The sequence below is a fragment of the Homo sapiens genome, chromosome 4, assembly GCF_000001405.40.
Source record: "Homo sapiens chromosome 4, GRCh38.p14 Primary Assembly".
In the NCBI taxonomy this organism is placed as follows: domain Eukaryota; kingdom Metazoa; phylum Chordata; class Mammalia; order Primates; family Hominidae; genus Homo; species Homo sapiens.
Genome location: NC_000004.12, coordinates 12505699 through 12531841, shown reverse-complemented (window position 1 = coordinate 12531841; position 26143 = coordinate 12505699). Strand labels below are relative to the sequence as shown.

Below are 26143 nucleotides of genomic sequence, written 5' to 3'. Positions count from 1 at the left end.
GTAAAGGGTTATTATTGCCATGTAATAATGTATAACATGTTTCATATTAATATCTGTGGTTTTCTTCCTTAACATTTATTTACTCTATACGCTTACGGTTTTACCCTCTCAAAAAAAATTCAGTGCCAGGGAATCACATTACCATTCACTTGTCAGTCTTGAGCCTGGGGCCTCTGAAAGTAGGCAGATCTTGTTCGAGGCTGGGAGCCCAGTGGGACCTGGTAGGAGAAAAGTGAGAGTCACTAACTTTGAGATGTCCTAAGGCTCTTCAGGAATGACTCTGCTATGGGACACAAAGCTACCTAGCCACCAGGAAAAGGCCAAGGGACATATGGGGCCAGTCCCTTGTGCTTAGCTTAACCTAGATTCTGTGCCTAATGGGTGTACTAAGGGACTTGGTGGGGAGATCATGATTATCTTGGTAATAATCCCCCCTGAATTATATGTGAGTGAGAAATAAACTCCATCAAAGCCCAGAAGTACTTCAGAGTTGCTAAGTGTGTGACTTTGGGCAGGATGCTCAGCCCTCCGAGAATCTGCCCTCACCTGCCAAAGGAAGCTAATGATACCTGCCCTACCCTCTTCTCTGATGTGCAGCAGTTCTCTAACTCATTAATTAAGCAGATATGAATTACGACTTAGTATGTTCCTTGATTCCGTGAAAGGCAGCAAGGTCACAAACATGAATAAAACATCCCCACTCAACAGTGGCTCACAGTCCATCAGGGAGACAAATAGGTAAGTAACTCATAGTGCCAGAGCATGGGGGTGCCGTGATGAAACCACAGGCTGTATGTGATGTGAGGCTTAAATGAAGAAATAATGTGGTTGTGAGAGGGAGGAGTATATGCAAAGGCTTTATAGAAAGGATGATTTTTTTAGAGTCATGATGAGAAATGAGTAGGAGTTTGCCATTGAGAAGCGTTGAAAGACATTGCACAAGGTGAAGAACATCAGAAAAGATGAAGTGATGTAAAGAAGGAGGCACATGGAGAAAATGTACTTTTCTTGATCTTTTTACAGGTTCCTTGTTATCTGCAAAGTGGTTTACATGTGCAAGGTGACATCATTATCAATACAACATTGAAATTATTAGAGAGCAGAATTCATCTCTGTACCTTTCTATACCTTCGATGCAACTACTGGTCTGGTCTTCGTGGCTTCTTTTCCCATGTTATTTCACTAAATTGTATTCTTATCAAAGTTAACATATGCACCTAGTTTTAAAAAGTCAAGTAGCACTGTAAGTCTTAAAACACCCTACTCCCGGCTCTCATTCTCCAAAGGTGACTACTTCTAATTATTATAGCTATTCTTTCTGGTATTTCTAAATAATGCATCGATACTGTTTCTTTTCACTTTGACACATTATATCTATTAACTTCTCAATATGAAAAATACAACTTTAGCCTTGTTTCCTCATCACTCACCATTTACATTTGCTAACCCTATGCATCCAAGATAAATTTTTGTATCTCATATGTGACAATTATTCCGTAAGTAATTATTTATACATACAAATTATGTATAAATTAATATTATTCAATACTAAGCCTTGTGTGCTGCTGTGTGCTATGATGAATCATTTCCTTGTTGTGTGATGCTACTTATTTTCTCATTTCCAAATTGTCTTGATTATTTTGGCTTAGTTTGGCTTAGTTTTTTTATGTATTTATCCTTAATTATTCCTGACACAAATATTTAATGAAAGTGTGAAACTCCTTTCAATAGGGAAAAACACATAAAGTAAACATTCAGTCTTTTTTTTTCACCTTTTTTTTTATTGGGGAAGACACAAATCTTCCTATTTCAATTTGTACTGATTACTCATTACTCCTTCTTAACCCCTGTTTAAATAAAAATGTACTTCAGTATTTTCTTATTTTTTTGTAATTTATTTTAAGTTCAGGGGTACATGGGCAGGTTTTCTATACAGGTAAACTTGTGTCACGGGGTTTGTCATACAGATTATTTCATCACCCAGGTATCAAACCTAGTACTCACTAGCTATTTTTCTTGATCCTCTCTCTCCTCCCATTCTGCACCCTCCAATAGGTCACAGTGTCTATAGTTCCTTTCTATGTGTCCATGTGTTCTCATCATTTATAAGTTCCCACTTATAAGTGAGAATATGTGATATTTGCTTTTCTGTCTCTGCATTAGTTTGCTAAAAATAATGGCCCCCATCTCTATCCATGTTCCTGCAAAGAACAGGATTTCATTCTTATTTATATCTGCATAGTGTTTGAAGGTGTGTGTGTACCACATTTTCTTTATCCAGTCTTTTATTGATGGGCATTTACGTTGATTTCATTTATTTTTGCTATTGTCAATAGTGCTGCAATGAACATACATGTGCATGTGTCTTTATAATAGAAGGATTTGTATTCCTTTGGATACATACCAAATACCCATTTGTTTAAATTCCTTAAACAAACGCTGGATGTTAGACCTTTGTCAGATGCATAGTTTGCAAAAATTTTCTTATTCTGCAGTTTGTCCGTTCACTCTGTTAATAGTTCATTTTGCTATGCGGAAGCTCTTTAGTTTAATTAAATCTCATTAGTCAATTATTGCTTTTGTTAAAATTGCTTTTTGTGATTTTGTCATGAAATATTTTCCTGTTCCTAGGTTCACAATGGTATTGCCTAGGTTGTCTTTCAAAAATTTTACAATTTTGGGTTTTATATGTAAAACTATCTTGAGATTATTTCTTGTATGATACAGGAAAGGGATCCAGTTTCGATCTTCTGAATATGAATAGCCAGTTATCCTGGCACCATTTATTGAATAGGAAATCTGTTCCCCATTTTTTTTTGTCAGGTTTGTTGAAGATCAGATGACTGTAAGTATGCAGTCTTATTTCTGGGTTCTCTATTCTGTTCCATTTGTCTATATGTCTGTTTTTGTGCTAGTACCATGCTATTTTGTTACTGTAGCCCTGTGGTATAGTTTGAAGTGAGGTAACATGATGCCACTAGCTTTGTTCTTTCTGTTCAGGATTGTCTTGGGTATTCGGACTCTTTTTTGGTTCTATAGGAATTTAAAAATAGTTTTTTCTAGTTCTGTGAAAAATGTCAATGGTAGTTCAGTAGGAATAGGATTGAATCTGTAAATTGCTTTGGGCAGTGTGGCCATTTTAAGGATGTTGATTTTTGCTATCCATAAGCGTGGAAAGTTTTTCCATTTGTTTGTGTCATATCTGATTTATTTGAGCCATGTTTTGTAGTAGTTCTCCCTGTAGAGATCCTTCACTTCCCCAGTTAGCTGTATTTCTAGGTGTTTATTCTTTTTTGGTAATTGTAAATGGGATTGTGCTCCTGATTTGGCTCTTGACTTGACTATTGTTGGTCTATAGTAATGTTCGTTATTTTTGCAAATTGATCTTGTATCCTGGGACTTTGTGAAAGATGCTTATCAGCTTAAGGTGCTTTTTGGCTGAGACTATGGGGTTTCCTGATATTGGATTGTGTCCTCTGCAGACAGGGATACTTTGACTTTCTCTATTTATATTTGGATGCCCTTTGTTTCTTTTTCTTGTCTTATTTCCCTAGACAAGACTTCAAATAATATATTGAATAGAAGTGGTGAGAGAGGGCATCCTTATCTTATGCCAGTTTGCAAGGGGAATGCTTCCAGCTTTTGCCCATTCAGTATGATGCTGGCTGTGGGTTTGCGAGAGACAGCTCTTATTTTGAGGCATGTTCCTTCAATACCTAGTTTATTGAGAGATTTTAGCATGAAGGGGTGTTGAATTTTATTGAAAGCCTCTCTACATCTATTGAGATAATTACGTGTTTTCTTGTCTTAAGTTCTGTTTATGTGATGAATCACATTTATTGATTTGTGTGCATTGTACCAACCTTGCATCCTAGTGATGAAGCCCAGTTGATCATGTTGGATAAGCTTTTTGATGTGCTATTGGATCTGGTTCGCCAGTATTTTGTTGCATCAATGTTCTTCAAGGATATTAGCCTGAAGTTTTCTTTTTTATTGTTGTTGTGTCTCTGCTAGGTTTTAGTATCAGGATGATGCTGGCCTCATAGGATAAGTTAGAAAGGAGTCCCTCTTCTCAATTTTTTTGAATAGTTTAAGCAGAAAGCAGAAATTCTGCCAGCACTTTGTACGTCTGGTAGAATTCAGCTGTGAATCTGTATGGTCCTGGGCTTTCTTTTGCTTGGTAGGCTATTCATTACTGACCCGATTTCAGAGCTCATTACTGGTCTGTTCAGGGATTCAATTTCTTCCCAGTTACATCTTGAGAGGGTGATGGATCCAGGAATTTATTCATTTTTTTCTAGATTTTCTAGTTTATGTGCATAGAGGTATTCATAATATTTTTCAATGATTGTTTGTATGTCTGTGGCATTAGTGGTAGTATCCCCCTTGTTGTGCCTGATTGTGTTTATTTGACTCTTCTCTCTTTTCTTTTTTATTAATCTAGCTAGTGGTCTATTTTATTAATCTTTTCACAAACCAGTTCCTGGACTTGTTGATCTTTAAATGGTTTTTGTGGCTTAATCTCCTTAAGTTCAGCTCTTTTGGCTATTTCTTGTCTTCTACTAGCTTGCTATTTGTTTGCTCTTGGTTCTCTAGTTCTTTTAGTAATAATGTTAGGTTTTTAATCTGAGATTTTTTTTCTTTTTATTTTTTGTGATGTGGGCATTTAGTGCTATAAATTTCCCGCTTAACACTGTCTTACCTGTGTCCCAGAGATTCTGGTATGTTGTATCTTTGTTCTCATTAACTTCAAAGAACTTCTTGATTTCTGCCTTAATTTCATTAATCACCCAAAAGTCATTCAGGGGCAGGTTATTCAATTCTCATGCAATTGTATGGTTTTGAGTTAATCTCTTAGTCTTGATTTCTAATATGATTGTGCTGTAGTCCAAGATCATTTGTTATAATTTCAGTCCTTTTGCATTTGCTGAGGAGTGTTTTACTTCCAATTATGTGGTTTATTTTAGAGTATGTGCCATGTGATGATGAGAAGAATGTATATTTTGGGGTTTTTTTTGGCGGGGGAGGCAGCAGTGATGATTTCTGTAGATATCTATAAGGTCCATTTGATCCAGTGTGGAGTTCGGGTCCTGAATATCTTTGTTAATTTTCTGTCTCAGTGATCTGTCTAATATTGTCGGAGGGATGTTACAGTCTCCCACTATTATTGTGCTGGAGTCTAAGTCTCTTTGAAGGTCCCTAAGAACATGCTTTATGAATCCAGGTCCTCCTGTGTTGGATGCATATATGTTTAGTATAGTTATATCTTCTCATTGAATTGAGCATGTTACCATTATGTAATGCCCTTCTTTGTCTTTTATGGTTTTTATTGGTTTAAAGCCTGTTTTACCTGGAACTACTATAGCAACTCCTGCTTTTTTCTGTTTTCCATTTGCTTGGTAGATTTTTCTTCATCCTTACATTTTCAGTCTATGTGCATCATTGCATGTAAGATGGGTCTCTTGAAGGCAGCATACAAATGGGTCTTAGTTCTTTATCCAGTTTGCCACTGTGTCTTTTAATTGAAGCATTTAGCCCATTTACATTCTAGGTTAATATTGATATATGTGGATTAGATCCTGCCATCATGATGTTGACTGGTTATTTTGCAGGTTTTTTATTTGGTTGCTTTATAGCATCACTGCTCTGTGTACTGCAGAGTGTTTTTGTAGTGGCTGGTAAAAATCTTTGCTTTCTGTATTTAGTGCTTCTTTCAGGATATCTTGTAAGGCAGGTCTGGTGGTAACAAATTCCCTCAGCATTTGCTTTTCTGAAAAGGATCTTATTTCTCCTTCACTTATAATGCTTAGTTTGGCCAAATATGGAATTCTGGGTTGAAATTTTTTTCTTTAAGAATGTTGAATATTGGCCCCCAATCTTTTCTGCCATGTGGAGTTTCTTCTGACAGGTCCACTTTTAGTCTGTTGCATTTCCCTATGTAGGTGACCTGACCTGTCTCTCCAGCTACCTTTACCAATTTTTTTTTTATTTTGACCTTGGAAAATCTGATAACTGTGGGTCTTCAGGATGATCTCCTCGTGAAGTATCTTACTAGGTTTTCTGCATTTCCTGAGTTTGACTGTTGGCCTCTCTAGGCAAGTTCAGGAAGTTCTCATGGATGATATCCTGAAATGTGTTTTCCAAGTTGGTCCCATTCTTCCCATCTGTTTCAGTGACACAAATGAGTTGTAGATTTGTTCTCTTTACATAATCAAATATTTCTTGGAACTTTTATTCATTTTTTTCATTGTTTTTCCTCTATTATTGTCTGTCTTATTTCAGAAAGTTAGTCTTTAAGCTCTGAGATTCTTTTTTCTGCTTGTCTATTCTGCTATTAATACTTGTGTTTGCATTATTATATTCTATTAGTGTGTTTTTCAGCTCTGTCAGATCAGTTATGTTATTTTCTATACTGGCTATTTTGTCTGTCAGCTGTTGAATTGTTTTATCATGATTATTAGCTTTCTTAGATTGGATTTCAACATAGTCCTCTAGCTCAATGATCTTTGTATCTATACATATTCTGAATCCTATTTCTGTCATTTTAGCCATCTCAGCCCTGTTCAGAACCCTTGCTGAATAGGTAAAATGGTCATTTGGAGGAAAGAAGGCACACTGTTTTTTTGAGTTTTCAGGTTTCTTGCACTGATTCTTTCTCATCTTTGTGGGCTTATCTACCTTCAACCTTTGACGTTGTTGATCTTTGTTTTTTTCTTTTATCCTATTTGATGACCTGAGGGTTTGATTTTGATGTACAGTAGATTCAGCTAAATGGCTTCATTTCTGGAAGATTTTACAGGGCAAACACAAAGTTCCCAACTCCTGGACTGTGTGCTCAAACTCTAGGGGACTTGTATTGGGCCCCAATTTTGTTCTCTGTCCTTCAAGGCTAAGAGTCCACTTCACTGGAATGGCCAAGGTGTAGCAGCTATGGCAGAGTGCTGGTGGGGACTGGGTGCCTGACTCCCTGGGGGCATTCACCATGGTGGTGGAGGCAATGCAGCTTGACAGTGAATGGGCCTAGCTGCTGAGGATTGTCTGTACAGTCATGCTGGAGGTAGTGTTGGCTTGTAGTGGGGAACTTGTGGACACAGGACTATGTGCCTTCTGTGTTTCCCACAAGAAAGAGTGATTGCTCAGGGTAGGGGAGGATCTGCTGTTCTCTGTAGTGATAGGATAAGGGCTGGGCACTGTTGCAGGCAGGGCTGGATGGCTCTGTGCCTGCCAAGGCTCTGTCTGAAATGGTGGTTGGCAGGGGGAGGGAAGGCAGACTGCACTCCTGCATCCTGGTGGGGCAAGAAAGGCAAAACTCACCCATGCAGACACACATCAGCAAGAGTGAGTTGGGTAGTTTCTTTGGGCCTGAGGGAAGCTGCAATATGGGTAGCAAGTGGGTGGGCTGGTGTATGGCCATAGGAGCCACATGGTCCTGGTCAGGCACAATCCACTAGCACAAGTTATGGTGCAGGTCCCTAGGGCACCCAAGACTGCCCTGCAAACAGGTGTGGCCAGGCTGGGGCCCCAGGAGAGGCCAGCAGACCAAGGTCTGCTCAGGTCAACCTAGCCCTGTCTGATGGGCAAGACTGCCCTGCAGAGATCAGGTCTGACAGTTGCCCTAAGGATAAAATCTCCAATGGGAGTGAGTGAAGCCTAAGAGGATGGCTGTCCCTAGGCATGCTCTGCTACAGACACTCCCACGCCAAACCCTCTGGGGTCCAAATCAGCTGGCTTGCTGCCCCTACCACTTCTCTAAGGAGCTCTCTCTGCCAATATGGGTGTTCATGGTGGTCAAGAGGCATCCTCCTGCTGGGGTTCTGGAGGCCTGTGGTGAGAGTCAGTTATTACTCATTAGTTCAACTCACCTGTTCTCCCACAGCCAGGAATGAGTCCAGTGTGCCGTAGGCCCATACAAGGTTCCCAGATTTCTTTGCCTTCAGTCCAGATTCTGTGTCCTCCCTCCAACCACTCTCAGTGTTTTCCTTCTAAAGATCTGTTAAGAGCATGCCAGTTGTCTCAGCACCTCGGTAGGAGCTGTTGCACCTGGCTGCATCAGTTGGCCATGTTGTCCTTCCCTATTTCAGCATTTTTCTTATATCAAATGCCTCATTTCCTGGATCCTATAACTTCCTATTTCTTTGTTGACTCCTGTTAATTTTAGTTGTCAACTTGACTGGATTAAAGAATACCGGAGAACTCATAAAGCATTACTTCTGGCTATGTCTGTGAGGTTGTTTTCAGAGGAGATTGGTGTATGAATCACGGACTGAGCAAGGAAGATCTGCCCTCATTGTGACTGGGCATTATCTAATCAACTGGGGTCTGGAATGAAACAAAAAAAGCAAAGAAATAAAAGGTGTTTTTCCCTCTCTCTTCTGAAGCTATAACACTCTTTTCCTATCCTTAGTCAACAGAACTTCAGGCTTTCTCACCTTTAGATTTCAATACTTACACCAGTGGTCCCTTGGGCTCTCAGGCTTGTGGTCTAAGAATTATACCATTGGTTTCTATGGTTCAGGGGCTTTGGGACTTGAACTGAGCCACAAATGGTTTGGACTGGGACACTACCAGCATCCCAGGTTCTCAAGCTTGTAGGCAGTCTTTTATGGGATTTCTCAGGGTTCATAACTAAATAAATCAATTTTCATATCAATTTGTCTCTCATATATCCACATACCTATATGTCTATATTTATCTTATTTGTTCTGTCTTTCTGGAGAACCTTACATAATACAGCTGTGTTGTATAAGAAAACTAATACTATGTACAACAATAGACAGAGATATTAGAGAGAGAGATTCAATAGAGAGAGAGAGTCAGTGAATTAGTTTTGGTGGATCCAATTGTTTCTCAAGCCTAGCTATGTGTATGTCCTTTACATTATTCATTTATTTTCCTTCGTAAGTCATCTACTTCTTATTTAATTAAATAAGCCATAAAATGTTATGTTTACTTAAATTATTTGAGTTTTGTTTCTAACATTTGGTAAAGAAGGATTCCTCACATATATTCCCTGGGACTATTATCTACTTTGTAAAATGTGATGCCAGTAACACAATTATTATGATAAATGAATTAATAAAATACCTTATGTGAAGCACATAGCATAGTACCTAATGCTCACCAGCTTCTAATTTCCTTTATTACTTTCTACTTCAAAAATTTATACAATAAAATATAACCTCAAATTAATATGCTTATTATTAATTTCAGCAGAATAGTGTCGAGTCATGAATAAGAAAATATACATAGCATTTTTTTATAGCAGAAATAAAAGATTTTAAAGAAAAAAAAAGATTTTAAAGAAGTGATGTATTAACCTAAGTCCATAACGTTCTAAATGTGTGATGTGGAGCAATTTGCTTAACAGTTCTGTGTCTCAGTTCCCTTATGCATAAAGAAGAAATGCTAGTTCTCATTTCAAATAACTGATGTGAAATGCAAATGAGAGGGCAAATGTAGGAAGTACTTAAATGATTTTACTTTCCTATTCTCCCTGAAACTTCACATCTATTCATACATAGGATATAATTCCAGCTGTGATTTGAAGCCCATGAATGTAATTTGATAGAGTGATTCATGGTGCCTGACATGAAGTTGATATAACATGTCTTCAGATGAAACAACCAATCATCATCATCAGAAAGAAACTTAGAAGATATGATATAATCCACCTCTATTCTATTTTAATAATAGAAAAAGAATAATTCAATGCTTTATTGTGTGGCATGGTTGCAGCTTCCACCTGAAAAGAATGAGCACATTATTATCTGTTTCCACTCCTTTCTATTTTCTCTTTAAGTCATGAAGTTGAATTGGTTAAGGATATAGATGTGGGAGGTAAGAAGAAGTTTCAGGTCTAGATAGAATGGTATCTTTTACTAAAGTTGATAACTAAGAGAAGTTTATTTGATTAAGGCAGAGCATTGAGGGGAATGGGATTTTCAGTTTTGAAGAATGTAGTTTGATGTGCCCCTGTGAGAATGAGAAGCCCAAGTAGACATGATTGGAACTTGAGGCCCAGGGTTGAGCTGGTGACATGGACTTTGAAGTTGGTGATACTCCTTGAGAAGAATACATGGGGTCTGAGAGCAGAAGGCCTAAAACAGACCCTGAGGGACACTGAGTCTAGAAACAGGGAAAAGAAGGAAGGCTTTCCAGGGTGTCTGAAAAAAAAGAGAGAAAAACAAAGAACAAGTAGAGCTTGGGATAACCTGAAGATGTATAAATCAAAAGATTGATGACTCTTGAAAATAAGGATGAAATCCACCATAGAATGGAACTATTAGCATTGAATCATCTCTTTTTTATCACAAGAGAGAAAGATACACATATGATTGCAAATAAATACAAGTTTATATGTTTGTGACATCTTAAAACTAAGATATATAAAACAGCACTACTGATGCTTTCTTCCAAACCAGCTTCCTTCTATAGTCTTTCCATCTCATTTAGGAAAAACTCCATTCTTCCAGTTTTTAAGACTGAACACATTGGTGTCTGATATGGTTTGGCTGTGTCCCCACCCAAATCTCATCTTGAATTGTAGCTCCCATAATTCCTAAGTGTTGTGGGAGGGACCTGGTGGGAGATAATTGAATCATGAGGCAGTTACCCCCATATTGTTCTTGTGGTAGTGAATAAGTCTCACAAGATCTGATGGTTTTATAAGGGAAAACCCCTTTCAATTCGTTCTAATTCTATCTTGCCTGCCACCATGTAAGACAGCACCTTCCACTATGATTGTGAGGCCTCCCCAGCCACGTGGAGTTGTGAGTCCATTAAACCTCTTTTTCTTTATAAATTACTCAGTCTCAAATATGTCTTTGTCAGCAGCGTGAAAACAAATACAGTGTCTCATTAAAAATATACATATTTTTATTGAGACAAAGTCCAACTCTGTTGCCCAGATTTGAGCAGAGGCTACAATTGCTACAAGATATGCTGTTTCTAATTTTAATTGTTCTCTTTATATGGTTTTCTTTACTGTCACTGCAGACCAACTATCCTTATAAATGGTAAGAATCATGGCTAACTGCTGCTTTCAAATATCACACAATAATTTTTTACATAAATTGAAACAAAATGACTTACAGAGGGCAAAAAGTCATAGTACTAGAGAAATTGAATGTTGGTAGAATTTAATCATAATTTGGCTATAGTTGTGTCATAAACACATTGAATATGTGATGACAGAAGGAAAACATCATTTAAAAATAAGAAAGTATTTACATTTCTATATTCAAATTTTTACACTTAGTATTATAATGATTTTACTGTCTATTAGTTTCTACATTCATAACTTAAAATAACTGCAAAATACTCAATATGGTATATGTCATTATTTGTAAAATAATGTTTCTATTATTGCACATTTAGTTTATGTTGTTATAGCCAATATAAATTATAATCAATTTGTGTTTATTGGATTATTAAATAAATTCATTAAGTATTCACTGAAAAATGTAAAATATCATCAGAAATAATTGTTTCAAATACATTCAGATGTTATGATCTTTTCAGTTATTTTTGTTTAATAAACATTTTTTACTGTAGGACATTTGTGTTCACAGATGCCGTGGCAATGTTTGTTTCTTCATCTCTGGGTTTCCAACTTTGAATTTAAACGTGATAGATTTCATTTAGGGAACAAATTATAACAACATAAAGAAATTTTGACACATAGCTGATGAATCCTGTGTTTTCTAGTTGAACAAAATTATTTATAGAGTCAAAGGGCATCAGTAAACAGGTGGATCTGAAAGTTGCAAAAATTTATAAATAATTTGACTGTGAATTACACTTTTATAGTTGTATCTAAACTCAATAAAAAATAGAGGGTTCAATAAATAAATGCTCAAAATTCTAAAACCAGAGGTCTAAGATCTCTCTCAATGAGAGGAGTTTCACAAGACACTTTGATCTAATTGTCTGTGGCATCTCATTGAAAGCATTTTCTACAGAACCATATTTAATTCCATAAGATGCAAAGCTGTGTGATATAAGCATGCTTTATATTTTAGATTTCTAAGGATCAATTTTCTCATTTCTAAGAATTATATTTAAAATACCAATAACTGGTACACCAGAGGCACTGACCCCTCCTTTGAAAGGATGCTGGTTCCAGCACTGGTATAGTTAATTAGTGCACCCAACTGGGACAAATGGTCCCTGCTATTTGCTGGATTGCAAGCAGCTGTGAAGAATGCTAAGGAAAAAGCACAGCTGAGATGCTGAACAGGAAGCCACCAGGGAAATGGGGAAGTGGCTATTTACTCTCTGTCATGGAAATAATTCAATATTTTAAAAACCAGTATGTCTGTCCCTGTGTGTATGGCTGACCATCTGCCCTATTTAATAATGTTTTCATGAGTATTGAATGAGCAAATGCATTTGAAACATTTTATGTTATGTTTGTACTATCCTAAGAATTTGATAAATAATAGTAGCATTGGCAAACTTTATCAATTTCATTGTCATAATTTACAATTAAAAGATTGTGATAAAAGAACAGCTTTGAAGGATATTTGAGGAAAGAAAAGAGAAATATTTCTAAAAGCATCTCTTTTTGCTTTTTCTACAACAAATTCTTGAGAAACTGCAGCCCATTCACAAGTAATGGAATCAAATGGGGCTACCATCCATGTGGCCTAACCATGGGCACAGCCTCTGAACAGGCCAAAACACACACTTGTAGGAATTTAACCTTGAAGGGAAGTGACACAGAATATTGTTGAAATGCTCAATATCATAAACATGCCATTCTCTCTTTATTACTACTTTGAAATAGTTCCAAATTATGCTTTAACATCAAATTTATCATGTGTCTAAACATTATATTAAAAATCAAGATTCAAAATTAGCTATGATAATTCTAGAGGAAAGAAGAGAGTACAGGAAAAGTGGAGTTGCGTTATCAAGCAAAAAGATGTTTAAAGCTATCTTTTTCAAGTCAGGGTAGTATTCTCAAACTAAAAAATAGAAATGGAGAGAGAGCCTAGAATTGGAATGAAAGTATTTATGGTGATTTGAAATCTGCTAGAAATACCTTACACATCAGCAGAGAAAAGAAAAACTATACCATTTGTTTAATACAGTCATTCTCCTTAACCTCCATGTACCTGTCTATCTTTAGAAAGTGCTGGTCATTGCTCTTGAAATAATCATTTTTGAATTATCATGAAGGCTGGGGTAAATTTGTCCTCCTCTGGATCTCTGTGTTTGCTTCTGTCAGGTGCCTGGGAACACTACCGTTAGATGACCACTTTAAACCAAAGCCATGACTTGACGTTTCCTGACCCACCTAGATGACATACATGAGCCACCCATGCAATGCACATAAAGGGTGGTCTGTGGATGGAACTTCTCAGGAAGGATAATTTTTCTATTTCCCCTTTTTGTTCCTTGCTTTAATCAGCATTATAGCAAGCTGCTCTGCATTATACCGGGCTTAAGTTAACATTGTTTTATTGAGGTTTGCCTTTATCCTGAGGATTAAACCTATGGGATCCAAATAAGGCTGTTTCTTTTGGCTTTTACATTTTATATACTGCATAATTTCAGGAGTCACAAATTACACTGTAATGTATCAGAATGCCTACCCAGCTCCCCTTGCCATTCCAATTCCCCCATTGTTTTACAATGTGCAGTTGTACTTACTGGCCCTGGTCTCAGCTTAACGTTTGAAGAGTAGCTGTGTGATTATCTCCACTGGACAGTCAATGCAACTGAAATTCTGTCTTCATCACCCCACTAAATCATCAAAATCTGTCTTCCTCACCTCAGTAAATCACAACCTTAAGTTCAAATGTGTGGCATTTGTAAACACCATTTAAATATCTTTGCTGCTCCATTAATCTGGTTATCTGGGTTTAAACATTTCTCCGAAATTTGGCCTGGCAGTTTTTATGCTATCTTTTCAGCTCTTCAAAGGTTTTGTGGCAATTAGAAAATATGTTAGTCTGGTGTTTTAAATTGTGTTTAGTGGGAGAGTCAATTTATACAACCTGATATAACTAGAGTCCATTGGTCTAAGATTACTCTTGACAGCTCTGTGGTGATGAGAGAAGATCAAGAGTGGAAGCAGGGAGACAACTAGGGCCTGTTGCAATAATTTAAGCAATAGCCTGGACCAAGGTAACTCAGGTATGGGTGGTGATAACAAATTTTATACTGAGAGAAGTTCAGTAAAATGCTTCTGTGAATTTTGCCCATCCTAGTGAGTATCTGAATGATTATTTTTATACCTTCAAGGTTGTGATATCGGGCTTCAGCTTGATCCATGCTACTGAAGAAAAGATAAATTTTTTTGTGGTGTACTCAGGCATATCTGAATACAAATTGTCTTCCATATCGAGTGTGATTAACTTTGTGTCTATATGTCTTAGAGTGTTATTTACAGGGAGAGAAATGATGGATGAAATAATCCATTTTGGCCCATCAATCATCAGATTTGTCATGTAATCAGTCTAATTTGATTTGCAAAAATGTAAACTTATAAGTAAATCAGCCCAATGGGGTTTTTTCCCCTGAAAATTACGCACTGAAATAACATCTTCTCATTTTTGCTGTAAATATTAATAGTCATTGCTCATCTTTATTACTTATTTTAAACATTTATAGATAAGCTCTTGCAGTACTTTCAGGTTAAGATCTCTGACTCTTGCTTCTGCCATGGAAAACACTACCAGTTTTCAAAGGGATACCCTTGCTTACCTAGTCTGTCCACTCTAGTTCCAGAATCTGGCTGAAATGTACTGATACATAACTCTTGACATGCATGTAAAAAGTTTCATTAACAAGGGGCAAAGAGAGTTTTGTGCATTTGAAATTAAATCATAACTAATTTTACATTTTGCTTTTAGACACTTATTATATAAAATCCTTTGAGCTATGCTATAACCATATTTTGAAGGTGCTACATTATGTTTATAGTTATCAAATTAAGTAACAGAAAATCATGTCATAGAGTTAATGTACCAACTCAGCAGTTATCCTTTATTTGGATAATAAGAAATGTAGTCTGTGAGTGACCTGAATGGGTTCACAGCTAATTTAGGCATAAATGGAGGTAAAACCCAGTCTCCTAATTTTCTAACAAAGTAGCCTTGCTAGTGAATCAAATCACAGGGAATTGGTGTCAGAGTAAATTTGGAAGCATACGTAAAAGACATAAAAGTATCTCAATGAAGATCATTTGTAAGCCAAAAAAAGCTCAATTAGCAAACTTCTAAAGGTTTATTTCACCAATTGAGAAGTATTCTCTCAGATATATATATATATATATATATATATATATATATATATATATGTGGTAAATATATTCTAAAATCTTGAAGTCCACTTGAGAATGACTCATGATTTTAGACTGCATAGTGAGAGCTGTTTTAAAATACATTTTTTCCTTGTTGTATGGGGAAATTTAGATGTAATCTCCAAGGGCTATGAGATTATATGTTCAAGAACCTTGGATCTAGCCTGTGATCTGGTCTGGCTTCTTTGGAATTTTTGTTTTGGGCCACAGAGCAGATGGACAGGCTGACCTGGTGACAATCCACATGTGTTTGAGCAAACTAAATTCACAGCCAAGAACAAGTAGAGACCGTGTTAATACCCTGGCAAGGACTGTCAACTACTGGTTGGGTGGTCTGCTGACTGGATGTGAACAGTCTGAAGTCAGTTAGGGCCGCAAGTCAGACATTTCCAAACAAACCAGAAGCATTCAGGAAATTATAGCTTTAAATGATAATGAAAAGAGTTTATTTTCACTTAAAAATAAACTCGTGTATATAGAAAAGCCTTTAATAGAAACAGCAAAAATTGCTGGGAATAATGCTGCTAATTCACCTTCCCTTATTCTATTTCCACTTGAACTCCATCTTATGTTTTCACAGTAAATGTGAGCTTTATCTCTAGAAACTAATTGTAGTGAAGGCCTGTTACGTAATAGAGGCAATGCCAAAAACAACTGTGAAAACATCCGTTTTCACAATGTTATAAAGGAATACCAGAGACTGTGTAATTTATAAAGGAAAGAGGGTTTAATTGACTCCCAGATCTGCATGGCCAGGGTGGCCTCAGGAAACTTACAATCACAGCAGAAGGGGAAGCAAGGCACATCTTACATGACAGCAGGAGAGAGAGAGAGAGAGAGAGAGAGAAGGGGGAAGCATTAGACACTTAACAAACAACCAGATCTCATGAGAACTCACTCACTGTCAGGAGAATAGCAGAGGAAAATCCACCCCGAAGATCTAATCACCTCCCACCAAGTCTCTCACTCAACACCTGGGGATTACAATTAGAAATGAGATTTGGGTGGAGACACAGAGCAAAACCATGTTATTCAGCCCATGGTGCTTCCCAAATCTCATGTCCTTTTTACATTTCAAAATCAATAATGCTTTCCCAACATTCCCCCAAAGTCTTAACTCATTCCAGCATTAACTCAAAAGTCCAAGTCCAAAGTCTCATCTGAGACAAGGCAAGTCCGTTCTGCCTATGAGCCTATAAAATCAAAGGCAAGTTAGTTCCTTCCAAGATACAATGGGCGTACATTTACTGGGCAAATTTTCCCATTCCAAATGGAAGTAATTGGCCAAAACAAAGGGACCACAGGGCCCATGCATGTCTAAAACCTGGCAGGAGAGTCATTAAATCTTAAAGCTCCCAAATCTCCATTGATTCTATGTCTCATATCTAGGGCATATTGATGCAAGGGGTGGGCTCCCAAAGCCTTCAGCAGCTCCCCCTCACTGTGGCTCTGCAGGGTACAGCCCCTGCAGCTGCTTTCATAGGCTAGCAATGAGTGTCTATCGCTTTTCCAGGCACACAGTGCAAGCTGTTGGTAGATCTACTTTTCTTGGGTCTGGAGTATGGTGGCCCTCTTCTCACAGCTCCACTAGGCAGTGCCCCCGTGGAAACTCTGTGTAGGGGCTCTAGCGCCACATTTCCCTTCCATGCTGCCCTAGTAGAGGTTCTCCATGAGGGCTCCATCCCTGCAGCAGACTTATGGCCGGACATCCAGGAATTTCCGTCCATCCTCTGAAATCTAGGCGGAGGCTCTTAAAGCTCAATTCTTGTCTTCTGTGTACCTACAGGCCCAACACCATGTGGAAGCTACCAAAAATTGGGGATTGCACCTTCTGAAGCAGTGGCATGAGCTGTACCTTGGCCCCTTTTAGCCACAGCTAGAGCTGGAGTGGCTAGGACATAGGGCACCAAGTCTCAGTGCTGTATAGAGCAGTGGGGCTCTGGGCCCAGCCCATGAAGCCAATTTTGTCTCCTAGGCCTCTGGGCCTGTGATGCAAGGGACTGCTATGAACACCTCTGGCATGTCCTGGAGATATTTTCCCCATTGTCTTGGCTATTAACATTCGACTCCTCATAACTTATGAAAATTTCTGCAACCAGCTTGAATTTCTCCCCAGAAAGTGGATTTTTATTTTCTACCTCATGGTCAGGCTGCAAATTTTCCAAACTTTCATGCTCTGCTTCCCTTTTAAACATACTTTCCAATTTTAAATCATCTCTTTGTGAATGCATATTACTGTACACTTTCAATAAAAGTCACATCTTGAATGCTTTGCTGCTTAGAAATTTCTTCTGCCAGATACTCTAAATCATCTCTCTCAATTTCAAAGTTCTACAGCTCTCTAGGGCAGGGACAAAATGCCTTCAGTCTCTTTTTGCTCTAATTCCCAATAGGTTCCTCATCTCCATCAGAGACCACCTCAGCCTGGACTTAATTGTCCATATCACTATCAGCATTTTGGTCAAAGCCATTCAAAAAGTATCTAGGAAGTTCCATACATTCCCACATCTTCCTGTCATCTTCTGAGCCTCCAAACTGTTCCAACCTCTGTCTGTTACCCAGTTCCCAAGTCACTTCCACATTTTCAGGTTATCTTTATAGCAGCACCCACCTTCCAGTACCAATTCTCTGCATTCATTCATATTCACACTGCTATAAAGAAATATCTGAGACTTGGTAATTTATAAAGGAAAGAGGGTTTAATTGACTCACAGTTCTGCATGGTGGGGGGAGGTGGGTTTAGGAAACATAATCATGGTGGAAGGGGAAGCAAGGCATGTCTTACATGGTGGTGAGAGAGAGGGAGAGAGAGAAGTGGGAAGCACCAGACACTTATCAAACAACCAGATCTCATGAGAACTCAATCTCTATCATGGGAACAGCAAGGGGAAATCTGCCACTGTGACCCAATCACCTCTGACCAGGTCCCTCCCTCAAGATGTGGAGATACAATTCAAGATGAGATTTGAGTGGGAACAGAGAACCAAACCTTATCAACACTTACTTCATAATCCTTGGTTGAAATATCACATGGGCTACTAAATTATACTTATTTATTTCAAAGAATATGTTCATTCAAGAGGACTGGGATATGAAAATTGACTTTAATGATTTTGATCATTTAGTACGATTCAGAAGAATTTACTTTGTCACTCTCTAGGTGTATAAGATTTTATCATTTGTGGAACACTTTTCTCTTACGATACCTCACTTAATTGCCACAAAGATTATTCTTTTTATTTTTTAAAAGCAAATAGGGACAGGAGAAATGAAGCTCAGGAAAGTAATGTCAGCAAGTTCAAAATGTTCACTGTGTTTAGTATATGAAAGTTCCTACCCTAGAATTCCAGGTTTCTGCAAATCAGGCATTGTTGTTGGATCCATAAAAGTCACATGGCAAAGGTATGAGAGCAACTCACTTTCTGGCCTTACTTCCCAAAATGACTCATTCAATGTAATCCTTTCCAAACACTCTCTTTATAGTTTAATACACATCCAAACCAGACACTTTCTCAGAACTATCCATATATTTCATTCACGAAGACCTATGTAGGGCCATCTTATAATTTTGCATGAGCAATAAAATAATATTTGGCCATTATAAGAAGGTGACCCCTTGCTTAGCCAAAATGCAACAAAGGGAAGACTTATGACTGGTCTCTGATGCTAGTTTTGACATTTTTTTTAATTAAGATTAACTTTACCTACCTAACTTCAAGATGTACTATACAGCTTCAGTAGTCAAGACAGTATGGTTTTGGTGAAATAATAGATAAATAGATCATTGGAACTGAATAGAGAGCCCCAAAATAGACCCACCTAAATACATTAAACAGATTGACAAAGAAGCAAGGACAATACAATGAAGCAAAGATAGTCTTTTCAACCAATGCTACTGGAACAACTAGGTAACCACATGTAACACCATGAATTTAAACACAGAACTTATACCCTTCACAAAAATTAACTCAAAATGAATCACAGGCCCAAATGTGAAATGCAAAACTATGAAACTCCTAGAAAACAACACAGGAGAAACTCTAATCTTGGGTGTGATGATATCTGTTAACTACAACACCAAAGACAATACATAAAAGAAAAACATTGGTAAGTTGGACTTCATTAAAATTAAAAAAAGAAAAAACTTGTGTGAAGGACATTGTCAAGAGAATGAAAAAACAAGCCACAGACTATGGGGAAACAGTTACAAAATGCATGTCTGACAAGGGAGTGTTATTCAGAACATAAAAGTAACTCAAAATTCAACAGCAGGGAAAGAAATACCCTAGCATCAAAGTGGTCAAGGACCTGAAGAGACAGCTCACAAAAAATACATAAATGGCAAATAAAAATATTTAAAAATTCTGAATATCATATGTCAGTAGAAATTTGCAAATTAATAAAGCAATGATACCACTACACACATATTAAGATGGTTAAAACTTAAAATACTGACAATACCAAATTCTGGCAAGGAGGTAGAGCAGTAGAAACTCTCATTTATTAATGATGTGAATGTAAAATGATGCATCCACTGTGGAAGACAGTTTGGCAGTTTCCTGTAAGACTAAATATACTCTTACTAAAGCATCCAGCAATTGTGCTCCTTGGTATTTATGGGAATGAATTGAAAACATAACCACACAAAAGCCTGCACATGGTTATTTATCGCAGATTTATTGCTAATTGACATAATTTGAAAGCATCTAAAATGTCCTTCCGTAAGTGAATGGATAAATAGACTATGGTGCATCCAGACAATGGAATATTATTCAGTTCTAAAAAGAAGTAATCTATCAAGCCTTGAAAAAATGTGGAGGAACTTAAATGTGTATTACTAAGTGAAAGAAGTCAATCTGAAAAGGCTACATACAGTATCTTTGCATCTGTATAATATTTTCAAAAAGGAAAACTACAGAGACAGTAAAAGGATCAGAGATTGATAGACATTAAAGGAGAGGGAGGATTCAATAGATGGAGAACAGAGGAATTTTAGAGCAGTAAAATTATCCTTCATGGTGCTGTAATGATGAACGTATATCATTATAGATTTGTCCAAACCCACAGAATGTACAATACAAAGTATAAACCCTAATGTAAACTGTAGACTCTGGTTAAGAATAATATGTAAGTTCAGTTGTAACAAATGTACCACTTTGGTTGGGATTGTTGATAGTGGGGAAGACTGGGCATATGTGACGGCCAGGAATATATATGAAACCTCTGTACCTTCTGCTCAATTTTGTTATGAACATGAAACTACTCTAAAAACAGTTTCTTTTTTAAATGTTGATATGTGTTTTTGCAGTTATTCTTTGTAAGGCTGAGAAATTTCTTTTGTTTCCAGTTTGCTGGAAGCTTTTTGTCAAAAATAGGTGTTAAAATTTGCCAAAAGCTAAATCAATAAATGTAATCCAGCATATAAACAGAGCCAAAGACAAAAACCACATGATTATCTCAACAGATGCAGAAAAGGCCTTTGACAAAATTCAACAATGCTTCATGCTAAAAAATCTCAATAAATTAGGTATTGATGGGACGTATTTCAAAATAATAAGAGCTATCTATGACAAACCCACAGCCAATATCATACTGAATGGGCAAAAACTGGAAGCATTCCCTTTGAAAACTGGCACAAGACAGGGATGGCCTCTCTCACTACTCCTACTCAACATAGTGTTGGAAGTTCTGGCCAGGGCAATTAGGCAGGAGAAGGAAATAAAGGGGAATTAGGAAAGAAGTCAAATTGTCCCTGTTTGCAGACGACATGATTGTATATCTAGAAAACCCCATTGTCTCAGCCCAAAATCTCCTTAAGCTGATAAGCAACTTCAGCAAAGTCTCAGGATACAAAAGCAATGTACAAAAATCACAAGCATTCTTATACACCAACAACAGACAAACAGAGAGCCAAATCATGAGTGAATTCCCATTCACAATTGCTTCAAAGAGAATAAAATACCTAGGAATCCAACTTACAAGGGATGTGAAGGACCTCTTCAAGGAGAACTACAGACCACTGCTGAAGGAAATAAAAGAGGATACAAACAAATGGAAGAACATTCCATGCTCATGGGTAGGAAGAATCAATATCGTGAAAATGGCCATACTGCCCAAGGTAGTTTACAGATTCAAAGCCATCCCCATCAAGCTACCAATGCCTTTCTTCACAGAATTGGAGAAAACTACTTTAAAGTTCATATGGAACCAAAAAAGAGCCCGCATCACCAAGTCAATCCTAAGCCAAAAGAACAAAGCTGGAGGCATCACACTACCTGACTTCAAACTATACTACAAGGCTACAGTAACCAAAACAGCATGATACTGGTACCAAAACAGAGATATAGATCAATGGAACAGAACAGAGCCCTCAGAAATAATGCCGCATATCTACAACTATCTGATCTTTGACAAACCTGAGAAAAACAAGCAATGGGGAAAGGATTCCCTATTTAATAAATGGTGCTGGGAAAACTGGCTAGCCGTATGTAGAAAGCTGAAACTGGATCCCTTCCTTACACCTTATACAAAAATTAATTCAAGATGGATTAAAGACTTAAATGTTAGACCTAAAACCATAAAAACCCTAGAAGAAAACCTAGGCATTACCATTCAGGACATAGGCATGGGCAAGGACTTCATGTCTAAAACACCAAAAGCAATGGCAACAAAAGCCAAAATTGACAAATGGGATCTAATTAAACTAAAGAGCTTCTGCACAGCAAAAGAAACTACCATCAGAGTGAACAGGCAACCTACAAAATGGGAGAAAATTTTCGCAACCTACTCATCTGACAAAGGGCTAATATCCAGAATCTACAATGAACTCAAACAAATTTACAAGAAAAAAACAAACAACCCCATCAAAAAGTGGGCGAAGGACATGAACAGACACTTCTCAAAAGAAGACATTTATGCAGCCAAAAAACACATGAAAAAATGCTCACCATCACTGGCCATCAGAGAAATGCAAATCAAAACCACAATGAGATACCATCTCACACCAGTTAGAATGGCAATCATTAAAAAGTCAGGAAACAACAGGTGCTGGAGAGGATGTGGAGAAATAGGAAGACTTTTACACTGTTGGTGGGACTGTAAACTAGTTCAACCATTGTGGAAGTCAGTGTGGCCATTCCTCAGGGATCTAGAACTAGAAATACCATTTGACCCAGCCATCTCATTACTGGGTATATACCCAAAGGACTATAAATCATGCTGCTATAAAGACACACGCACATGTATGTTTATTGTGGCATTATTCACAATAGCAAAGACTTGGAACCAACCCAAATGTCCAACAATGATAGACTGGATGAAGAAAATGTGGCACATATACACCATGGAATGCTATGTAGCCATAAAAAATGATGAGTTCATGTCCTTTGTAGGGACATGGATGAAATTGGAAATCATCATTCTCAGTAAACTGTCGCAAGAACAAAAAACCAAACACCACATATTGTCACTCATAGGTGGGAATTGAACAATGAGATCACATGGACACAGGAAGGGGAACATCACACTCTAGGGACTGTGGTGGGGTGGGGGGAGGGGGGAAGGATAGCATTGGGAGATATACCTAATGCTAGATGACAAGTTAGTGGGTGCAGCACACCAGCATGGCACATGTATACATATGTAACTAACCTGCACAATGTGCACATGTACCCTAAAACTTAAAGTATAATAATAAAAGAAAAAAAACTTAAAAAAAAAATTTGCCAAAATCTTTTGCTAAGGGTATTGAGTTTATCATATGGTTTTCTTGATTGTTTATTCAATATGTTAAGTTACCTTAATTTTAATATATAAACCAACTTGCATTGTTGCAATATATCCTACTTGGTCATGAAATAGATAATAACTTTATCCATTCAATTTGCTGATATGTGACAACTCTGTTGTTTTCTGTATTTTCTTTCATGCTGCATTTAAAAAAATAAAGTAATATATGCATATGCATAAGATATCCAACAATATATAGAATGAAAAAAATAGGTCTCTATTTCAGTCTACCACATCTCCATATCCATACACAAAAATATGTGTATGCTATTTTAATTATTACTTTTTGATGTTTTTCTACTGAATTTCTGTTATAATGGAAAAAGATTTCCCACATATGCTCTCTCACTCTCCTGTTACACACCAAATCAAATTATATTCACTTCCTCTACTGTTTAACTCTGCAAATTCAAATAGTATGCTTAAACCTACAGTTCTAGTCCATTAACAATACATGGTATGTCAGGAATCTTCTCTGTGTGAGATGAGGACAGTAGCTCACCTGTATCTATTTGAACCTCCCAGCCTTAGGACTTTTATTTTCTTTCATCTGCATGTATATTCTCATTATTCCATTCTGTAATTGTAGGTAAGTCTTCTATAGTTTATGTGTATATTGGTTCTAACAATGGAAAAGCAATATAAAGCATAGCTTAGAAATTGCTCTTACTACATACTTTTTTGTTTACTTTTCCTTTTTTTTTTTTTTTTTTTGACTGCAAAGCCAAATCTCCTAGGACAATTGTGGGCAGCTGTTGCGTGGAAGAAAATTAGTGTTTTACCACCAGAACTATCATCGTTACTACACAATTGAAAAAAAGCATAATGTGCAGCCAATTCACAGAAGGAAAATCCAAGAGGCCAGTAAACATAGAAAAACATACCCACCCTTAAGAATAAACAGGGCAGTTAAAATTATAACAACAATAAAGTACCATCGATAATATCCTCAGATTGCCAAAGTTTTTAAGTCTGACAATAGCATATAATGGCAATATGTGGGAACATAGAAACTGTTATTCATGGCTAAAGGTAGTCTAATTAGAGCTACTTTGAAGAGAAATTTGGCTCTATCCATTTGAAAATACACATTTCCTGTGTCCTGGTAATTTCTCTTTTTCATAGATAATTGGGAGGAACTCTTACGTATTTGCTGAAGGAAACCTATAAAGGGATGCTGATTGCAGCATTGTCTCTGAACTAATTAAAAAAATAAAGTCCTAAACATCTGTTAGTATGGGTAAACAAATTGCAACAGATTCATGTTAGAGAATATTATATGTCAGTTAAAAAGAACATAGTTCTTTTCTTCTAGTAGACCAAAACCAATGTTAAATTTAAAAAATCAAACTTGATGAATGCTATGTTTATGAAATTAAACATAAATTATAATAAGAACTAATATTTATTGAATATGTATGTGTTTGTGTTTACTGATATGTGTGTAAGTTAAAAATTTTAATGAATGCTTCTGTTAAGGAAGAAGAAATAGAGCCAAGGCTGGCCACCTAAATGGATTGTAATGCTAACTTTTATTTATAGTTGATTTTTTTAATAAAAGGAAGCAAAAAATATTATGAAACATAGATACTGGATGACTGCATAACAAAATGATACATTTAATTTATTTCCTTAAATATTAGTTCGATAAGTACTCTTTTACATGTACAAGCTTTTAATAAGTATATAAAATATAATGCATATCAGCTTTTTGTTTTCTATAGATGTATGACATGAACCGCCAAGATAACAGCTAATTAACATTCTAGATTTTCTAAGTGTTTATACCTGAAAAGCTGGCGTTTACTTGTTATTTCCTTGGGCTGGTTTAATAATAAATGCAGACTTGAAAAAGAACAATATGTTGACAATTGAGCAAAACAAAAGGCATTTGTTTCTGTCACATGGATATAAACAAAGGGATGCCTTAATTTTTCTCTATGAAAATGCATGAATTAAAAAAATAAATATCCTCACATGCCCATGCTAGCAGATTCTGAGACTTGTTTACACATCTGCTTTGGTGTTCTAAATCAAGCTACTGCAATATTTCTATTGTTTCTAATAAGTTGTGAGCAATTTTCTCAGTATGACTAAGTTAGAGCAGCTGGTTATGTCCGAGGAATTCAACCTGTGCAGGTTAACATTTACTGAGCACTGTCATTGGTGTTGTTAGAGAATCAAATATGAATAAGGCACTATCCTTACATATTTGCAGTTCAAAATAGATTAGAAGATCCTTTTAAGATCATGTCTAATGATAAGTTATTCCACTGTAACAGAAGTGCTCTACAATTGCTCTGGAGCTACAGAATGATGGGCTTTCTCTTCTGTCCTAGTTAGGACTTGTAGATATTTCATTGCAACTGTTCTTGGAATGTTGCATAAGATCTGAGTGATAGAGGAGGAGAAAACTCTCCAGACAGAGGGAATCTGCATACATATATTTTTATTGCATTTTAATCTACACTATTGTTAGTGATAGGGCAATTTACTGACTGTACTCACAACAAATTTTGTATATTACCATGACTGTAATTATTGGCTAATAGGTATGAGTCATTAACATATACCAGAAGTGGACTAACATTTTAATATGTCTTAGTTCATCTAATCAACAAATGCAGGTATATATTATCATTTCCATTTTGTAGTAGAGGAAGCTGAAACAAAAATATTAAGCAACAGCTATATTTGATGTTCCTGGGTTTCAAACCCTAGTCTATTGATTTGCAGGTTGTGTTTTTCTCAGATTAACTCTAAGATTTGAGGAAACTACTAAGTAACACAGCTTAACTTCCATCTTAAGAAAAGTCTGGCTCCAGAGACTTTGCTCTTTCTCCTCATATTGTAGTCTCACCACACTGCCAAGACATGGATAGACATAGTTTTGACTTGCAGGGTTCAAGTCCTTAAAGCAAGAAAACATCCCCATTGTATTAGTTCATTTACACACTGCTATAAAAAACTGCCCAAGACTGAGTAATTTATAAAGAAAAGAGGTTCAATTGACTCACTTTTCTTCATGGCTGGGGAGGCCTCAGG

At 36.8% G+C, this 26143-nt stretch overlaps 1 long non-coding RNA gene across 3 annotated transcripts in view, besides 2 other annotated features; it reads left to right on the top strand.

The window, feature by feature from the left end:
* Positions 1-26143, top strand: part of LOC105374492 (uncharacterized) — a 153067-nt gene that overhangs the window by 91067 nt on the left and 35857 nt on the right. The gene's annotated exons all lie outside the window — the stretch shown is intronic.
* Positions 6868-7367: an enhancer, noted in NCBI's record as "H3K27ac hESC enhancer chr4:12526099-12526598 (GRCh37/hg19 assembly coordinates)". NCBI's record gives its function as "activates a minimal SCP1, AML or CMV promoter by ChIP-STARR-seq in primed H9 embryonic stem cells {active_cell/tissue: H9 hESC(primed)}" and the evidence as "EXISTENCE:reporter gene assay evidence [ECO:0000049][PMID:30033119]".
* Positions 7368-7869: an enhancer, noted in NCBI's record as "H3K27ac hESC enhancer chr4:12525597-12526098 (GRCh37/hg19 assembly coordinates)". NCBI's record gives its function as "activates a minimal SCP1, AML or CMV promoter by ChIP-STARR-seq in primed H9 embryonic stem cells {active_cell/tissue: H9 hESC(primed)}" and the evidence as "EXISTENCE:reporter gene assay evidence [ECO:0000049][PMID:30033119]".